This window comes from Homo sapiens, chromosome 11 (assembly GCF_000001405.40).
Source record: "Homo sapiens chromosome 11, GRCh38.p14 Primary Assembly".
In the NCBI taxonomy this organism is placed as follows: Eukaryota; Metazoa; Chordata; class Mammalia; order Primates; family Hominidae; genus Homo; species Homo sapiens.
The window spans coordinates 8,701,037-8,716,654 of record NC_000011.10 but is presented as its reverse complement, the minus strand read 5'-3'; the positions used below and the strand labels follow the sequence as shown (position 1 = coordinate 8,716,654).

Sequence of the window (15,618 nt, the reverse complement as noted above, 5' to 3'; positions counted from 1 at the left end):
AAAAGATTTACCCTCTAATTAGGACTCTTTTCAAACAGGCTTCCCCTGAGTTTGCATTGCCAGATTGATTGGGTGAGAACAGGAAATTGGGGGCTGTGGAGGAAGGAGGATTTGCTGAGGAGTGAGGAGAGGCAATTCCAGAACCAGACAGTGGTTGGGTGTCTGTGGGATACTTGCCTCCTGACAGGGTCCGCGACAAGGATGGTGCCCTGGGATGAGAGGTCAGCGCATATGGAGAGAGGCAGAGAGTAGATCAGGGCTGGGGAGAGGGCAGCCAGGGCCTTGTGGGTATGGGATCCAATTCAGTGTGAGGCCTGCCTGGCCCAGCTTTGGTGGTCAGAGCCCAGAGCCCCTGTGTTCTCCATGGGAGCAGTTAGGAGGGCCAGGCTGCAGGATCTCCCAGCCCAGCAGGCTGGCCAGTAGGTTATGGCCTCTGCTGTCAGAAACCTTTTAGGATTGGCTCGGGAGCAGAGGTCCGGAAGACTGGTTCCATCACCCAGGCCCAGTAATTCTTGTCCCATAGCTCAGGAGGACCCCCGCAAAATTCCCACTTAGTCTTCTTTTTCCACTCAGATGAGAGCACAGGTGTTTTTAGCCTCTGCTTTCGTTTTTTGCTGGCAGTAGTGAAGCTTCCTTTAGGGAAGGCAAGTATCTAATCTATCCCTGACCTGGCTGATTAGCAGCTAAAGTCTTAAGAGAGGGATGGAAGTTCCAGGGCAAGATGGCGGGGATCCAGGGATGCCGGCCCTTGGCCTCTGTGTCCCCATCCCAGCAGACAGACACTGGCCAAGGCCTCTGTGGCAAGCCCCTCTCGCACGTCCTCTCCCCCACGCCAGCTTTCCCTGAAACCCAACAGCCAGTCCCTGCGCAGTGGGAACTGGTCAGAAAGGAAGAGCCACCGGCTGCCACGATTACCCAAGAGGCACAGCCATGACGACATGCTGCTGCTGGCTCAGCTGAGTCTGCCGTCCTCACCCTCCAGCCTCAATGAAGACAGCCTCAGCACCACCAGCGAGCTGCTGTCCAGCCGCCGGGCCCGCCGCATTCCCAAGGTACCCTCCCCAGAGGCAGCCCACTGGAGCCGGGCAGGTGGGCGGGCAGGCAGCCAGCCTTTCTCTCTCTTTCCTGGCTTCCTTCCTTCCCTAATCTGGACTGCTTCCTCGATTCCCTTTGAATAAATTCTGGGTCCGTGCACTGGCCTCTTTTTCATCTGATTAATTCCCCTTTCTTATCAATAAAGATGCATTAACTGACCTTGGTGCTCAGATGTTAGAGGAAGGAAAGTCTAGCCGAGGTTCCCCATTAGTAAGTGTGGTGTATGAATTTTGGGGTATCCGCACACATAAGCATTTCCAGGCTTTCAAGGACCTAGGACTCAAACAAGGGTTCTTCCTATAACTCTCAGCATTGAAGAATTTTCAGCAATGATTTTCACACATAGGCAGCCAGGCCCAAATCCCCAGCCCAACGCAGCAGGATTTAGCCAGATGGTATTTTTAACCTGCAAACAATGCTTGGGTATATTGGGAATTTAGCTTCTTCCTGTCGGGGCCCCAGGTTATGGCCCAGAGGGGAAAGGCTAGAATCCTTGTTCCTGTTATTGCATCTCAGAGGCTCTTTGTCTCAGTTGGTTCAATGACTCTTGGGACCCAGGAGCTACCATCCTGTCTAGTTTGATCACAGTTCCTTCCTCTGGGGAGCTAAGTTTAGTGTCCTTGTCTTGGGGCAGGAGACCACTCCTGGGGGACTAGGTATATGGAGAGCTACCATGCATGGCTGGTGAGTCACCACTTGAGGTCGGTTCTGCAGTTAGACCAGTCCTGGACCCAGCGGGTGCAATGCAGAAAGCTTGTACCATTAAGGGCAGGGATGGGCTCCTACTCAGCCTTCTTGGAAGTAGGGCAGCTGGTGTTAAGGTTACCTCACCCATCCTGCTTTTCTCACCCAGCTTGTCCAAAGAATTAACTCCATCTACAATGCCAAGAGAGGAAAGAAGAGATTAAAAAAGTTGTCTATGTCCAGCATTGAAACAGCATCACTGAGAGGTAGGCTTTGGTGCCAGAGCTGGTTCAGCTGTTTGGGGCCCTTGGGCATTAGGAACGGGAGAGGCATCAATTTACCTGTGGAGGGTAGAGCCCTGCCAGGAAATGGCCACGTAGGAGGGAGGAGCAGACAGGGAAGAAAGGTCTGGGATGGGTTCCTTCAGACTTTGGGCTGTGAGGCCCTGAGCAGGGAGGTGGGTGTGGGAATCGGCTTCTGCAAAAGGAAAGGCCAGACTCACTGAGCATTGCGGTCTGTTTCCCATTTCAAATCTTGACCTCCTGGAGGCAGGGTCCATCTTTTCCAGGCCTGTAGGCCCCTCTTCTGGCTCAGCCTCCAACTCAGGCCCTCAGCTTCCCTCATGGGTTTGAATATAGGATTCGCAGTGTGAGCTCTGAAGGAGCCTGGCCCCAGGCCACTCAGCTCCCTGCCTGCAGATGCCTGACCATGGGCCCAGAGTAGCCCAGAGAAGGTAGAGATCCATCCCCTGTGAGAAAAGCTGGGGTGGTGGGGGAGCAAAAAACATTGGCTGTGAGGTCCAGCAAGTATGTACTCTGCTGTTCCTTTTCCAGATGAAAACAGTGAGAGCGAGAGCGACTCTGATGACAGGTTCAAAGGTGAGGCACAGCTCCCATGAGTACGGAAGCTCTCCCAGCAGGGCTGCAGGGAATCAGCCTTCCCTTCCGATGCATGTGTGGTTCCAGTGTCCCTAACCGGCCTGATGTGGAGAGGTGACAGACAGGCCAGATACCAGAACAATAGAGCAGGGAGCCACAGGGAAGTCTGTCCTTATAGACATGTGAGCTCAGCCCTGCAAGGTTAAATCCAGATGTCTCCCTTTGCCAAATGTAAGGGTGGTGACCTGCCCAAACTGTCCCAAGCCATTGTCCATGGGAGTTGGGTGCTAGATTTGCCTGGTAAATGTTGTAGATCTCAGCCGGGCGCGGTGGCTCATGCCTGTAATCCCAGCACTTTGGGAGGCCAAGGCGGGCAGATCACGAGGTCAGGAGTTCGAGACCAGCCTGGCTAAGATGGTGAAACCCCATCTCTACTAAAATAATACAAAAATTAGCCAGGCACGGTGGCGGGCGCGTGTAATACCAGCTACTTGGGAGGCTGAGGCAGGAGAATCACTTGAACCCGGGAGGCGGAGGTTGTAGTGAGCTGAGATCATGCCACTGCACTCTAGCCTGGGCGACAGAGCAAGACTCTGTCTCAAAAAAAAAATTGTAGATCTGGAGGGTCAGAGAGGGGTACAGAAGATTACAAGGACCTCTTCTGGCAAGAAATGTGCCGTAGACTGAGGAAACTGTTTCTCTGGAGGCCCTGCAGTCCCCCATCTCCCCTGTCCCCAGAGAGGAGCTTGAAAAGGTTCTGGAACCTTCACATTCCAGGGTCCTTGGATAAATCTTTGTGCTTTCTCTACTGGGAAACCCTGCCTAGGCCTTCCTGGATGATTATCCTCTCATCCCCAGGCAAATGGGCAAGTGGACTTTGGATGTAGGAGCATGTCCTGCTAGGGGCCCAAGGATGAAGCCTTCGTGGATGTTCGTGTATTCTAGTCCTTTTGGTACAGGGACAGAGTGGGTGCCAAGATACATCCCTGGGTTTGCCTGGCCTCGGCAGTCCTCCTGCCCCAGCTCAGTCTCCAGAGGCTCCAGGAGGACCAGGCCCGCAGCTTCCTGTGTCAGGGCAGAGTCTTTGTGCAGGGGTCAGCACCTTGTGCCTGCCGGTCCTCCTGCACTGTGAGCTGGGGATGGTATCAGACTAGGCTCACGTACTTAAAAGTGCTCCACAGCAATGGAGCCCTGAGCCAGGGGTAGAGGAGTTAACATGAGGCCTGTGAGGGTCCATTCCCTGATGTGCAACCTGCCTCCAGCCCACACACAGCGCCTGGTCCACATCCAGTCGATGCTGAAGCGCGCCCCCAGCTATCGCACGCTGGAGCTGGAGCTGCTGGAGTGGCAGGAGCGGGAGCTTTTTGAGTACTTTGTGGTGGTGTCCCTCAAGAAGAAGCCATCGCGAAACACCTACCTCCCCGAAGTCTCCTACCAGTTTCCCAAGGTGAGGCCTTCTCTCTCCCCACCTTGCCCATATTCCCCCTCTTCCATCCTCTATCCGCCAGGCCTATCTGGGGAAGGAGAGAGATCTTGTTCGTCATACGTCCTCACCGAGCTGCCACAGCCCTGAACCTGCCTCCTCTCAGCCAGGAGGGAAGACAGGGCTGCAGCGGGGGTGGGTTTGGGCCAGTGCTTGTTCAAAGGATGAGGACTAAGAAAGAACCTCTCAATGTGCTTATAATAAAATCCAGAACAATTGAATACCATACAGTTCACCCACTTAATGTATACAGTTCAGTGTTTGGGTGTATTCACAGAATTGTGCAATCATCACCACAGTCAATTTTAGAACATTTTTATCACCCCAAAGAGAAACTCTGCACCCACTAGCTGTCACTCCGCACTTCTCCCACCAGCCTGTCTCTCACTCCGCCTTCCCTGCTTGTCGCCAGCCAGCCTGGCCTCCCTCTTCTTCCTCTCACACTCAACCCCTCTCTCTCTGCCATTGCCTCTGCCAGGAATGTGCTTTCTCCAGCTCTTCACGTGGCTGCTGGCTCCTTCTCATTTCTCAGGCTCTGCTCAAGTAGGACCTCTTTCAGGAGGTCTGTCCAGACACCTGCATGGAGCCCCTCCCCTGCCCAGCTTGCTCTGGTACATAACCCTGCTTATTATTTTATTTTTTTATTCGAGACGGAGTTTCGCTCTTGTTACAGAGGCTGGAGTGCAATGGCGCTATCTCGGCTCACTGCAACCTCCGCCTCCTGGGTTCAAGCGATTCTCCTGCCTCAGCCTCCCAAGTAGCTGGGATTACAGGCATGCGCCACCACTCCTGGCTAATTTTGTATTTTTAGTAGCGATGGGGTTTCTCCATGTTGGTCAGGCTGGTCTCGAACTCCCAACCTCAGGTGATCCGCCAGTCTCGGCCTCCCAAAGCGCTGGGATTAACAGGCATGAACCACCGCGCCCGGCCACCCTGCTTATTTTTTTTTTAAGCCCCGCTCTGAGATGTTGTGGTTGACCATCTCACTCTGCTGACGAGAATGTGTAAGGTCGGGGACCTTGTCCCCTTTGTTTTCCATTGAGAGCCAAGAGCCCTGGCGCATAGCACCGTGTCAGATGCCATATAGAAAGCACTCCGCTGGCATTTATTGAATGAATGAATGATGACTCTGGGCTCTGTAAGAATTCGGAGTGGGACAAGGGTTGCTGAGATCATGCCCGCTAGTCAGTGGCATCTAGGGCCCTCAGGGGAGGAGGGGCTTCTCAGCCACCACCACCCGCCCTCAGGTTCCATGTCATCTCCTGGTTCCTTCTTCCCTGCAGCTGGACCGACCCACCAAGCAGATGCGAGAGGCAGAGGAAAGGCTCAAAGCCATTCCCCAGTTTTGCTTCCCTGATGCCAAGGACTGGCTTCCTGTGTCAGAGTATAGCAGGTGAGGCCTGGCCTGGCCTGAGGGAGGAAGGAGCATAGCCTTCTTTACCCCCATAGCGTGGGCACCTGAGTGGGGCCTGCTCTAGTCTCATCCTCTCCTACAGCAACCTGGCCCTTCACCCCACGTGAAAATGACGGTCCCTATTCTTGGGGGCTGTTTCCTAGGTCCTCTCACACCTCCCTGATGCCAGACCTCTCTTTGTTCCAGTGAGACCTTTTCTTTCATGCTGACTGGGGAAGATGGCAGCAGACGCTTTGGCTACTGCAGGCGCTTACTGGTGAGTGAGGCCATTCGGTCCTCAGGCCAGCAGGCAGGGGATAGGCCAGGGTGTGTGTGTGTGTGTGTGTGTGTGTGTGTGTGTGTGTGTGCCCTTCTGCAATTTTAGCTTGTATGAAATCCTATGTTATGCTTCCTGAGGCCACCCCGAACCCCCTGCCAACACACACACTTTCACAGGTGAGGCTACCCTGGGAGAGCAGGGCTCAGAGTGGTGCTTCTGAGGGGGCCTTAGGATCGGAGGTTATCTGGAGTAAGGGGAGGGAGTGGGTTTTCATGTCTTTTTAGTTTTTCTCTACTTTTTCGTCATTTCCCTTGGGATCATGGGCTCTGATTGCTGGTCTCTGGTTGCAGGATCGAATCGCCCCCAGCAGTATGTGTATATGCATCAGATTAGGTGAGGGACAACCTTCCTCACCCCCATACCTGGCCAGCCTGTAGTGGGGAGGAGGCCTTTCTGTGGTGTGGTGGGGCTGGAGATTGGGCAGGGACAGAGACATACCTTCTCTGGGAATCTGAGAGAGATACCTTGAATCTAGGGGAAAGGGATTAGGTTTTGAAAATGTTAGCCATTTTGTAAAGAGAAGTCCCTCACCATTTCCCTTCCCATTAGTCCTGGGAAATAGATTGGGTAGAGGCTCAGAGCCTGGCCCCTGCTGCACTCCCAGCTTGGAGCTACTGGGTTGTTGACAATGTTTTGGGGTTTCCAGGCCTTAGCAAGAGAAAGCCTCCCCAGATACCAGTCTAGGGGTAGATGAAGGGGGCAGGAGCCCTGAAGGAAGGATTTGGGGCCGGCCATTCATTCATTCAGAAACACTTATCATCCCTTATCAGAAGCCCTGACCTATTGAGAGTCAGGCACGTGCTATTGAGAGTCAGGCACGTGCTCATATAAAGATGAGTTTAACATGGATCTCCCTCTCGAGGAACTTTAGATGGCCTGTTACAGGAGATTGGACTTTCAACACAGGAGGGAAGGGCCAAGGGAATAAGAGGGAATAAATGTTGTTTAGAACCTGTCACATTCCAAGCTAGATGCTTCAAGTATGTCTTTTAAAAGAAAATGATCACAATAGCCCATGGGTTATTATTATCCCTGATCCATAGATTGGAAAGTCAAAACTCAGAGGTAGAATGACTTGCCCAAGGTCATACAGAACCAGAAGGGAAGTCGTTTGTCACCAATTTGTACTCTTGGATCACCCCCAGAGGATGGACTGGGGAGAGGGGGCGTGGGGAGGTAGAATGCCCATGGAGGGGCAAAGGGCGTATGCACAGGAGTGATGCCAGGTGGTGAGCCAGGCAGAGGCCAGCATGCCTCTGGCCGCCTGGGCCTCCCAGGCTTGGAAGGAGTGTTGCGAAGGCTGCCTTTGCTGGAACATAGATGGAGCAGAGCTGCTCCTTTGTAGTGGGGCTGCTGCCCCCAGGGAAGAGCGTGTTTGTCCTGGCGTGCTCAGAGAGGGCCTGGGCTGGGTCTCTGCCAAGGGGGCTGGCACTAGCTCGGCATTCCTGCAGATTGGACACAATGATTCTGATCCAAATCCCACATACTTGATTTAATCACTTGGGGCTTTAGGGGAGGCGGGGGAGAGGGAAAGAGACAGGAGTGAGTTTCAGGCCTAATATGGACAAAAACAGATTCTGCCTTCTCTTTAGATCTGTGACGTGTGGCCAGCAGGTTTGGAGACTGAAATAGCCCCATCTGCATTTGCTTAGCAGCCTGCACGAGGGGCCAGCACCTGCTGCTCTGCTCCCTCCCCACTCGGACTTGCCAGGCCCTCCAGGCCTCTGAGTCCTGCTGGAGAAGGCACTGCAGCCTGCATGGGGGCTCCGGGCCTGGGAGCTCTCAGTGCATGTCTCCCCTTTAGCTACCCACCTTTTTTTTTTTTTTTTGAGACAGAGTTTCATTCTTGTTGCCCAGGCTGGAAGTACAATGGTGTGATCTCGGCTCACTGCAACCTCCACCTCCCGGGTTCAAGCGATTCTCCTGCCTTAGCCTCCTAAGTAGCTGGGATTACAGGCGCATGCCACTATGACCGGCTAATTTTGTATTTTTAGTGGAGATGGGGTTTCTCCATGTTGGTCAGGCTGGTCTCGAACTCCCAACCTCAGGTGATCCACCTCCCTTGGCCTCCCAAAGTGCTGGAATTACAGGCGTGAGCCACCGCGCCTGGCCATGCCTACCTTTTAAGTCCCATTCTTCTTTTGCTCCTTTACTCCATAGCAAACCTCTACCCAGTGTCTTTGTTTTCTTTCCTTCCTGTCAGAAAGCAGCAGGCTTTAGGGGTAAGACAGCCAAACAGGGCCAAAGCAAACTCCTGGCTCCACAGCTTCTAGATAGGTGGCCTTAGGCAATGGCTTTATCTTTTTGAACTCAGTTGCCTCATCTATAAAGGGGATAATAATCCCTCTCTCACAAATCTCTTGTAAAGTCCCAAGCCCAGGAGTCAGGTATAGCAAATGTTCCATAAACAGTAGCTCCCATCTCTTGTTTTCAGTTTGCTCTCTTAGAATGGAGGTGGATCAAGAAAGGGAGAAAAGAAGCAAAAAAAGGAATGGTATGCCGAATGTGCCCTATGGGGCTAAAAAGCTACAATGGCTTGTCCTAAGGATGTACCCTAGTCCTTCCCATCTGCTGGGGTCCCAGCCTCAGGGCTATGAATCCACAGACACCCTGTAGCCTCTGCCAAACTGCTTTGCCCTTTGCCAGCCCCCGTCAGCGTCCTCCTGGGAGGAAGGGTGGAGCCTGTGTGGAGCCTGGCAGGAGCCTGGTACCTGGTGCTGGGAGACCCTGCAGAGCTGAGGCCTGTCCTGAGAGTGGTGGCTGTTCCTTCAGGGCTCTGGTTGCAGAGAGGTTTAGAGGAGGCTTAAAGTCTTCCTCCACTAGAAGGGCAGTCCTTACTCCTCCGTTCCCAAGGAAAAGGAGCCAGAAATGGTAATCATGCATTCTCTGTGTCTGTCTCTCTCCTCCTCCTCCTTGTCCTGGCCCAGCCAAGTGGGAAAGGGCCCCGGTTGCCAGAGGTGTACTGTGTCATCAGCCGCCTTGGCTGCTTCGGCTTGTTTTCCAAGGTAAGAGGCTCTGGCAGGCTTCCCTCCCCGTCCCCCAGCTGACAGCTCCCACAGGAGTATCTGCAGCCAGCTTAGATGAGAAAACCACCTGTGACTGTGAGCGAGCGGGAGACAGAATGCAGGAACAAGTACCAGTGAGCTCTCTGACACCCTCCCATTCCCCGGCCTGGTTCTCTACCCAGCTGGCTGGCATTTCCCCAGCTCCTGTGCTGGCAGTGTCTGCCCCTGTCACAGCCCACCCTGGGCCCTAGGCAGAGCCAGAGTCCTTGGGGAAGCAGGAGCGCCCAGGGAGCTGACTCTTGGGTGGTATTTCCTTTGCCCAGCTACTCCGCTCTTGGGGACTGAAGCAAGGCCAGTTAGGGAACAGAGGAGTCACTGAGTGCCAAGGAAAACGGGAAGGGTAGAGTGTGCAGATCATGGCAAGACCACCTTCCCGTCTCCCAGCTTCTGGGCTAGCCTGGTCAGATGCTTGGCTGCCCTCTTCTCTGCCAGGAGGGGGAAGGGCAGTGCCCTGACACCCTTCCTCTTTGGGCTGCTGGCGGTGGGCACAGGTCCTAGATGAGGTGGAGCGCCGGCGTGGGATCTCCGCTGCATTGGTCTATCCTTTCATGAGAAGTCTCATGGAGTCGCCCTTCCCAGCCCCAGGGAAGACCATCAAAGTGAAGACATTCCTGCCAGGTGCTGGCAATGAGGTAGGGATTTCTGCACCCTCTTCTCTCGGGCTACGGGCTGGGGTGGCAGGAGGACCATGCTGGCCAAGGTCGTAGTCTTTGGGGGTTGCAGAGCACGGTCCCTCCTTGCTCAACCATGTCTGTGTACCCCATCACTAGGGACCAAAAGAGCAAACAATAGGAATGTACATGTTGTCCAGCCCTCTGTTCCTCCCAGGGGCCTTCCCTGACCCATTTGGACTAAACTGCATTCCATCTGCCTTCCTTTTGTTCATTCATTGAACAGTTACTGAATGTGTGCCATCTCACAATCAGGGATTGCGCCAGACCTCAGAGCAGAGTCAGAGGTAGAGGGACGTGGCTCTGTCCTCATGAAGTTTGTAGTCTAGTGGGAGATACTGCTATTATAAACACTTTTACATATAAATAGATAATTCCTAAATGTGTTACAAGCCAAGTGAAAGCACAGGACCTTATGAGAGTGTGAAACAGGGGAGTCTGCTTTAAATAAGGGGCCAGGGAAGGTCTCCTCTGAGAAAGTAACACTTTATCAGAGACCTAAGTGGTGAGTGGGGGCAACTAAATGAAGCAGGAGGAGGGAGATGGAAAGAGAAGGATATGAACGGGAGAAGATTATTCCAAGTAGAGGAACCAGCATCTGCAAAGGCAAAAGTTGGGCAAGTGCAAATGCTGGTCAGAGGGTTGATGGGGTGGGGGTAGAGGGGTGGGTTGGCAGGCAAGAACCCAATCACGATGTCCCTGCTAGGCCAAGTTAAGGATTTGGGGTTTTATCTAAAGCAGGGGTATGATAAGATCTGACGTATATTTTCATTTCATTTTATTTTTTTGAGACAGGGTCTCACTCTGCCACCCATATTGTGCAGTGGTGCTGGAGTGCAGTGGTGCTATCATGGCTCACTGCAGCCTCACCCTCCCGGGCTCAAGCGATCCTCCCGCTTCAGCCTCCTGAGTAGCTGGGACTACAGGCGTGCACCACCAAACCCAGCTGACTTTTGTATTTTCTATAGAGACAGGGTTTCACCCTGTTGCCCAGGCTGGTCTTGAACTCCTGGACTCAAGCAATCCTCCCACCTCCCCCTCCCAAACTGTAGGGACTACAGGCGTGAGCCACCTGTGGCCAGCTGATACATGTATTCAAAGCCCACTGTGGCTGCCATGTAGATAATGGTCGGAGTGAAAACGGGGAGACCAGCAGGGATACTGTTGTGGCACTATGGGTAAGAGATGATGGCAGCTTTGGATTAAGATGTGGTAGAACAGGGGAAGGGAAGTAGATGGATTTTAGAATTAGGACCAATAGCACTTTGCGTTTGATTGGAAATAGGGAGTAGTTGTTACAGAGACTGTAAGGCTGACTCCCAGTTTTCTGGCTGGAGCCCCAGGGTAGATGATGGAGCCATGTACTGAGATGGGAGCTCGTGAAGGAGAAGCAGGTAATGAGGAGGAAGAGCAAGAGTCCAAATGTGTACATGTCAAGTTTGAGATGCCCATGAGACCCCCAAGAGAAGGTATTTAGTAGCAAAGAGTGTAAATAGGGAAGAGAAGAGAGCCCAGTATGGGGTCCTCCTCAGTCCTGGGGAACCCCAACGTGCAGAGGCCCTGCAGGAGAGGAACACTCAGGAGAGGGCTGCGGCTCAGGAGCACCTCAAAAAGGAAGCCGTGATCCGGATCAGGAACCACCAAGAGGTCAGGATGAGGCGTGGCAAGATCTTGACAAGTGCAGGGGCCCAGAAGTTGGGCTGGAGTGAGTTGAGAAGTGATGGGTGTGAGGAAGTGGAAACAGCCTGTGTAGACATCTTCTCAAGATTGCATGGCTGTGGAGAGAAATAGGGAAGAGGGCAGCAATTGAAATGTGGAACTAGGGAAGCTTGTTAGGGATGGTAGTTTGTATGCTGGTGGGAATGGCTGCCAGAGGAAGAGGTTTGAGCTGCAGGAGCAGGAGGGGCTAGCAGAGAGTACTGAGAAGATGTGGGTGTTAGGCTCCATGGAGGGCTTGGTGTTTATTAGGAGAGGAGGGAGTGGCTTAGTAGATTTTGGATTCTCATCTGATGGCTTTGATTTTCTCAAAGTAGAAAAGGTCAGACCGGGCACCGTGGCTCATGTGCTTGTAATCCCAGCACGTTGGGAGGCTGAGGCGGGGGGATCACTTGAGGTCAGGAGTTCGAGACCAGCCTGGCCAACATGTTGAAACTCTGTCTCTTCCAAAAATACAAAAAAAAAATTGCCAGGTGTGGTGGCGCATGCCTGTAATCCCAGCCACTCGGGAGGCTGAGGCAGGAGAATCTCTTGAACTCGGGAGGTGAAGATTGTAGTGAGTCAAGATTGCGCCACTGCACTCCAGCCTGGGCGACAAAGCGAGACTCCATCTCAAAAAAATACATATGTCAAAATAGAAAAGGTCATCCTTTGAGAGTAAGAGGTGGATGTTGGGTTCTAGGAGAGGGAAGAATAAATAAATTAGTTGTAGAGAGTGGGAGAGGGACTGACCAAAAAAGCATACCAGGCTTGCTGAGCAGTGGCAAATCCTAGCTTGAGGGCTTTCTCCTCGCCTCTTTTCTCCCCTTCATTTAGAGGAACTTTAGGCTTCATGGTGGCTGTGGGGCACAGGATAGGGGACCCTTCCCTTATAGCGCAGCATCATGCCTGGGAGCTCTTCATGGTCTGGCCCTGGCCACCTCACTGGGCTCTCGTCTTCTGACTTGATACTTAGTGTTGCCTCAACCCTACTTCCTTTTGCCTAGAAGACACTTCTCTTCTTTTCTCTTTGGGGAGTCAAGTACCTTGTGCTCTGAGAGGCTTCCCTGACCTCTCCCCACCCACATGAGCTTGGCTGCCCTTCTAGATGTCCTGCCTGTCCCTGTGCAGATGTTGGTCACATCTGCCTCTGTCCTGACACTGGACTCCCAGGCTGTAACTACTCAGCTCCTTCAGCCCCCTGGGCTTGATCTCCTTGAAGGCAGGGATGCAGGGAACAAGGCCGGGAGTGGGAGCAGCCTGTGTGAATTCTCAATCCCTGGGGGAAGGGGGAGGGTTGGGCCCCAGGGACAGTAGGGACTGGAGCTGGGTGCTAGAGAGCAGAGCCTGTTGGGCTGCATGCAGGGAGCTTGCGAATTTTGGGGCGGGGACAGGGCCTGGAGCAGGTATAAAGGGCTCTGGCATCATTGTGCTACTTCTTTCTGTGAGTCCACGTTCACTGACCATTTGGGGTGTACCCAGCATCTGGCGGATCACTGGGCCTTCTGGGAGTACACCATCAGGCGGGAGAGACAGTGGACACAGACCGTTACCATGCCCTGTGCCCATTTTGCTGCTTCTCTGGGGCCCAGAAGGATGGATGCTGAGTTAGGAGTTAGAACTCCTTCATTTGCTTAGACTCTGAGGAACAAATGAGATGACGTGGGTATAAAAACTCCTTGTAAAGCATTACCTTTGATGCCATGGGGCAATGAGAGAGAACTGGTTTCTCACCCTAGTTTTCAGGAGGCCTGCACATCTATGCTGCACACACATGCTGCGGGACCAAGGAGGAGGCCAGGCAGACCCCAGGGACAGCTGCTTTGGCACGGCCTGAGCGTCAGCAGTTCCTCCTGCCCTCACCGCTGGAGTCACTCACTACCTTCCACCCCTGTGACTCCCCCAGAGAAGTGGCTCTCTGAGCTGTGGCACTCACCTTGGGAGCAGCCTTTGGAGGAAAGAGGGCCAGGCCTGGCCCTGATAAGACAGTCCTGCTTCCTGGCAAGGCTGCAGAATGGCCAGCCCTTTGCTTATGTTTTCCTTGTGACTGGCATGGGACTTAGGGTGATGGAGATAAAGGCCAGGATAGCAGGACAAACAGCCTCTGGAAGGAAACTCTTTCTGCAGGAAAGGGAGGGGGACAGGGCAACAAGGACCCCAGCATTGCCCTTCCAGAGGCAATGGCTGGGATTAGAGTCCTGGGATGCGGAGATGCCTGGAGAGCAGTGGGGTCTAGTCAGCACTGGGGGCTTAGACCTTTGTCTGGGGAGGTGGGCAGGAGGACCCTAGAGATGTGGCTGTGTGGTTCCCTTCTTCTCCCTATCTCTAAGAGCAGTCAGCTCTCCTCTCTTCCTGAGGTCCCGATGGATGGCCCCTCAACTCCTTCCTTCTGGAGCCTTCCCCGCTTTCACAGGCAGCCCTCTTGCCCACAGGCTGGGTGTTCGAGTGCTACGAGAGCAGAGCTGTAGTCCGAGGGATGGAGAAGAGGGGTTTACTGCATAGCAGGGTAGACGAGAGACCTGGAAAAGAGCAGGTTGGAAGGGGAAAGCAGCTCCAGTTGCTTCGTGGAGGGCCAGAGGGCAGCACCCACTTGGCTGGCCCCGGCCCACTTTCCCATCGCTCTCCTGCAGGTGTTAGAGCTGCGGCGGCCCATGGACTCAAGGCTGGAGCACGTGGACTTTGAGTGCCTTTTTACCTGCCTCAGTGTGCGCCAGCTCATCCGAATCTTTGCCTCACTGCTGCTGGAGCGCCGGGTCATTTTTGTGGCAGATAAGCTCAGGTAGGGCCCAGCCGGGCAAGAAAGCAGAAGGGAGGGGGGAAGGCACACCCACAAGCGAATCAGCAAGTGTTCAGGAGCCTAAGCAGGCGCCGGAGACCAGTGCTGGAGTGGGGCTGTGCGTAGGGAGATGGAAGACTAGGTGGAAAGGTAGCACCCCTGTGTGGGTGAGGGAGCAGGGTTTGGGAGCACACAGATGGCAGGATTGAGAACCCTGTGGAGGGCTTGGCCTGAGGGGAGAGGGAGGGATATTTCTTCCTTTGCAACAGCCAAGACTGTGCAGGTGCCGGGATATGTAAAGGGGAAAGGTTAAGAAATTGAGATTTTTGGTGGATGGTTGCATTTCTTCTGGAGGGGGAGGCAAAGCCATCTCAATGGGATGCTGAGTTTGAGGAAAGAGCTGCTGTGAGGAAGGGGCAAGAGCACTGACCGGGGACAGTGTGAGGAATGCTGAGCCAGCCAGCGAGGGTCCTGTGGAGGGTGTCCCCTGGAGAAGGCAACTGCAGTGGCCCAGGGCTGGGCAATGGGAGGGCTGGGGAGAAGGATGTGATGGGGGCACTGAGGTGCAGAGAGGAGAGTGGGTGAGGAAGGCTGGCCAGCCCACACCGGGAAACAGATGATGTGCAGGGCCTGGAGGTGCCAGGGAAGTCGGGGAGCTGGTTTAGGAGGAGTAAGAAAAGAGCTGGATGGGTCACAGGTCTTGGTCTGAAATGCTGGCATTTATGATTTTAGAGGTAGAGGTGTCGAGAAGGTCTGGTGGTGGCCATGGGAGGGGTGGCAGAAGTGATGGTCACTGGACGTGAGGCAGTTTAGGAAGTAAGAAGTCGGAGCTCTTCTAGACAGCCAAGGTTTAAAAAAGAAAAAAGTTTTATGTCAGTGGTGGTTAGGGGGTGACACAGGCAAGGCACAAGTGATACGGCTCCGATGAGTGCAGGAACACTAGGGTTTTTGGTTCTTATGCTGGTTTAGATAAAACGACACCGACACACGTGGAGTGGTTTTAAGGAGCGGAGAGTTTAATAGGCAAGAAGGGAAGGAGAAAGGCAGAAAGAAGAAAGTACAGAGACAGAGGGAGAGAGGCTCCAAAGCCGAGAGAGGGAACCCCAAGTGTTGTGGATACCAGCCAGTTTGATAAGAAGGCTGGAGGAGGCGGTGTTTGATTTGCATAGGGCTTAGGGGATTGGTTTGACCAGGCATGTCATTCATGTAGCCCCTCCCCCCCCCCCCCCCGGAAGCTGGCCTTCCCATCCTAGCCTTTTAATATGCGAATGTAGGGCGCCTGATGTTCTACACACGTGGGAATATGCGGGGCAGCCATGCTGCTAGGCACCTGTAGGGGCAAGGGCAAGAGGACAACGGTGGGAATTGCCATGTTGGGTGGACCCAATTTCTAATGGTCTTCATTTGCATATCAAAGGTTGCCTGCCTGGCTCTAAGAGCCGGGGCTTTCTTTCCAGACAAGAAACATTTTTGAGCTGCTTTAAAGGAAATGAGGTACAGTGGCTCACGCCTGTAATCCCAGCACTTTGGGAGGCCGA

General features: G+C 53.7%; 1 protein-coding gene across 24 annotated transcripts in view, besides 2 other annotated features; it reads left to right on the top strand.

The window, feature by feature from the left end:
• Positions 1–15,618, top strand: part of DENND2B (DENN domain containing 2B) — a 217,600-nt gene that overhangs the window by 194,297 nt on the left and 7,685 nt on the right. For 15 of the 24 annotated variants that reach the window (NR_164822.1, NR_164815.1, NR_164820.1 and 12 more), the window contains 9 exons: positions 837–1,052; positions 1,949–2,045; positions 2,613–2,657; positions 3,920–4,104; positions 5,424–5,533; positions 5,741–5,810; positions 8,801–8,878; positions 9,430–9,570; positions 13,935–14,083. Coding sequence is in view for 15 of the 24 variants with exons in the window: in NM_005418.4 (NP_005409.3) it covers positions 837–1,052; positions 1,949–2,045; positions 2,613–2,657; positions 3,920–4,104; positions 5,424–5,533; positions 5,741–5,810; positions 8,801–8,878; positions 9,430–9,570; positions 13,935–14,083 (1,091 nt within the window). In the remaining 9 variants the exon portion in view is untranslated. Of the gene's footprint in view, positions 1–836; positions 1,053–1,948; positions 2,046–2,612; positions 2,658–3,919; positions 4,105–5,423; positions 5,534–5,697; positions 5,811–8,800; positions 8,879–9,429; positions 9,571–13,934; positions 14,084–15,618 lie in introns of all 24 variants that reach the window. The other 9 variants (NR_164817.1, NR_164821.1, NR_164819.1 and 6 more) reach the window with 6 other exon arrangements.
• Positions 6,004–6,505: an enhancer, noted in NCBI's record as "H3K27ac hESC enhancer chr11:8731697-8732198 (GRCh37/hg19 assembly coordinates)". NCBI's record gives its function as "activates a minimal SCP1, AML or CMV promoter by ChIP-STARR-seq in primed H9 embryonic stem cells {active_cell/tissue: H9 hESC(primed)}" and the evidence as "EXISTENCE:reporter gene assay evidence [ECO:0000049][PMID:30033119]".
• Positions 13,752–14,537: an enhancer, noted in NCBI's record as "H3K27ac-H3K4me1 hESC enhancer chr11:8723665-8724450 (GRCh37/hg19 assembly coordinates)". NCBI's record gives its function as "activates a minimal SCP1, AML or CMV promoter by ChIP-STARR-seq in naive H9 embryonic stem cells {active_cell/tissue: H9 hESC(naive)}" and the evidence as "EXISTENCE:reporter gene assay evidence [ECO:0000049][PMID:30033119]".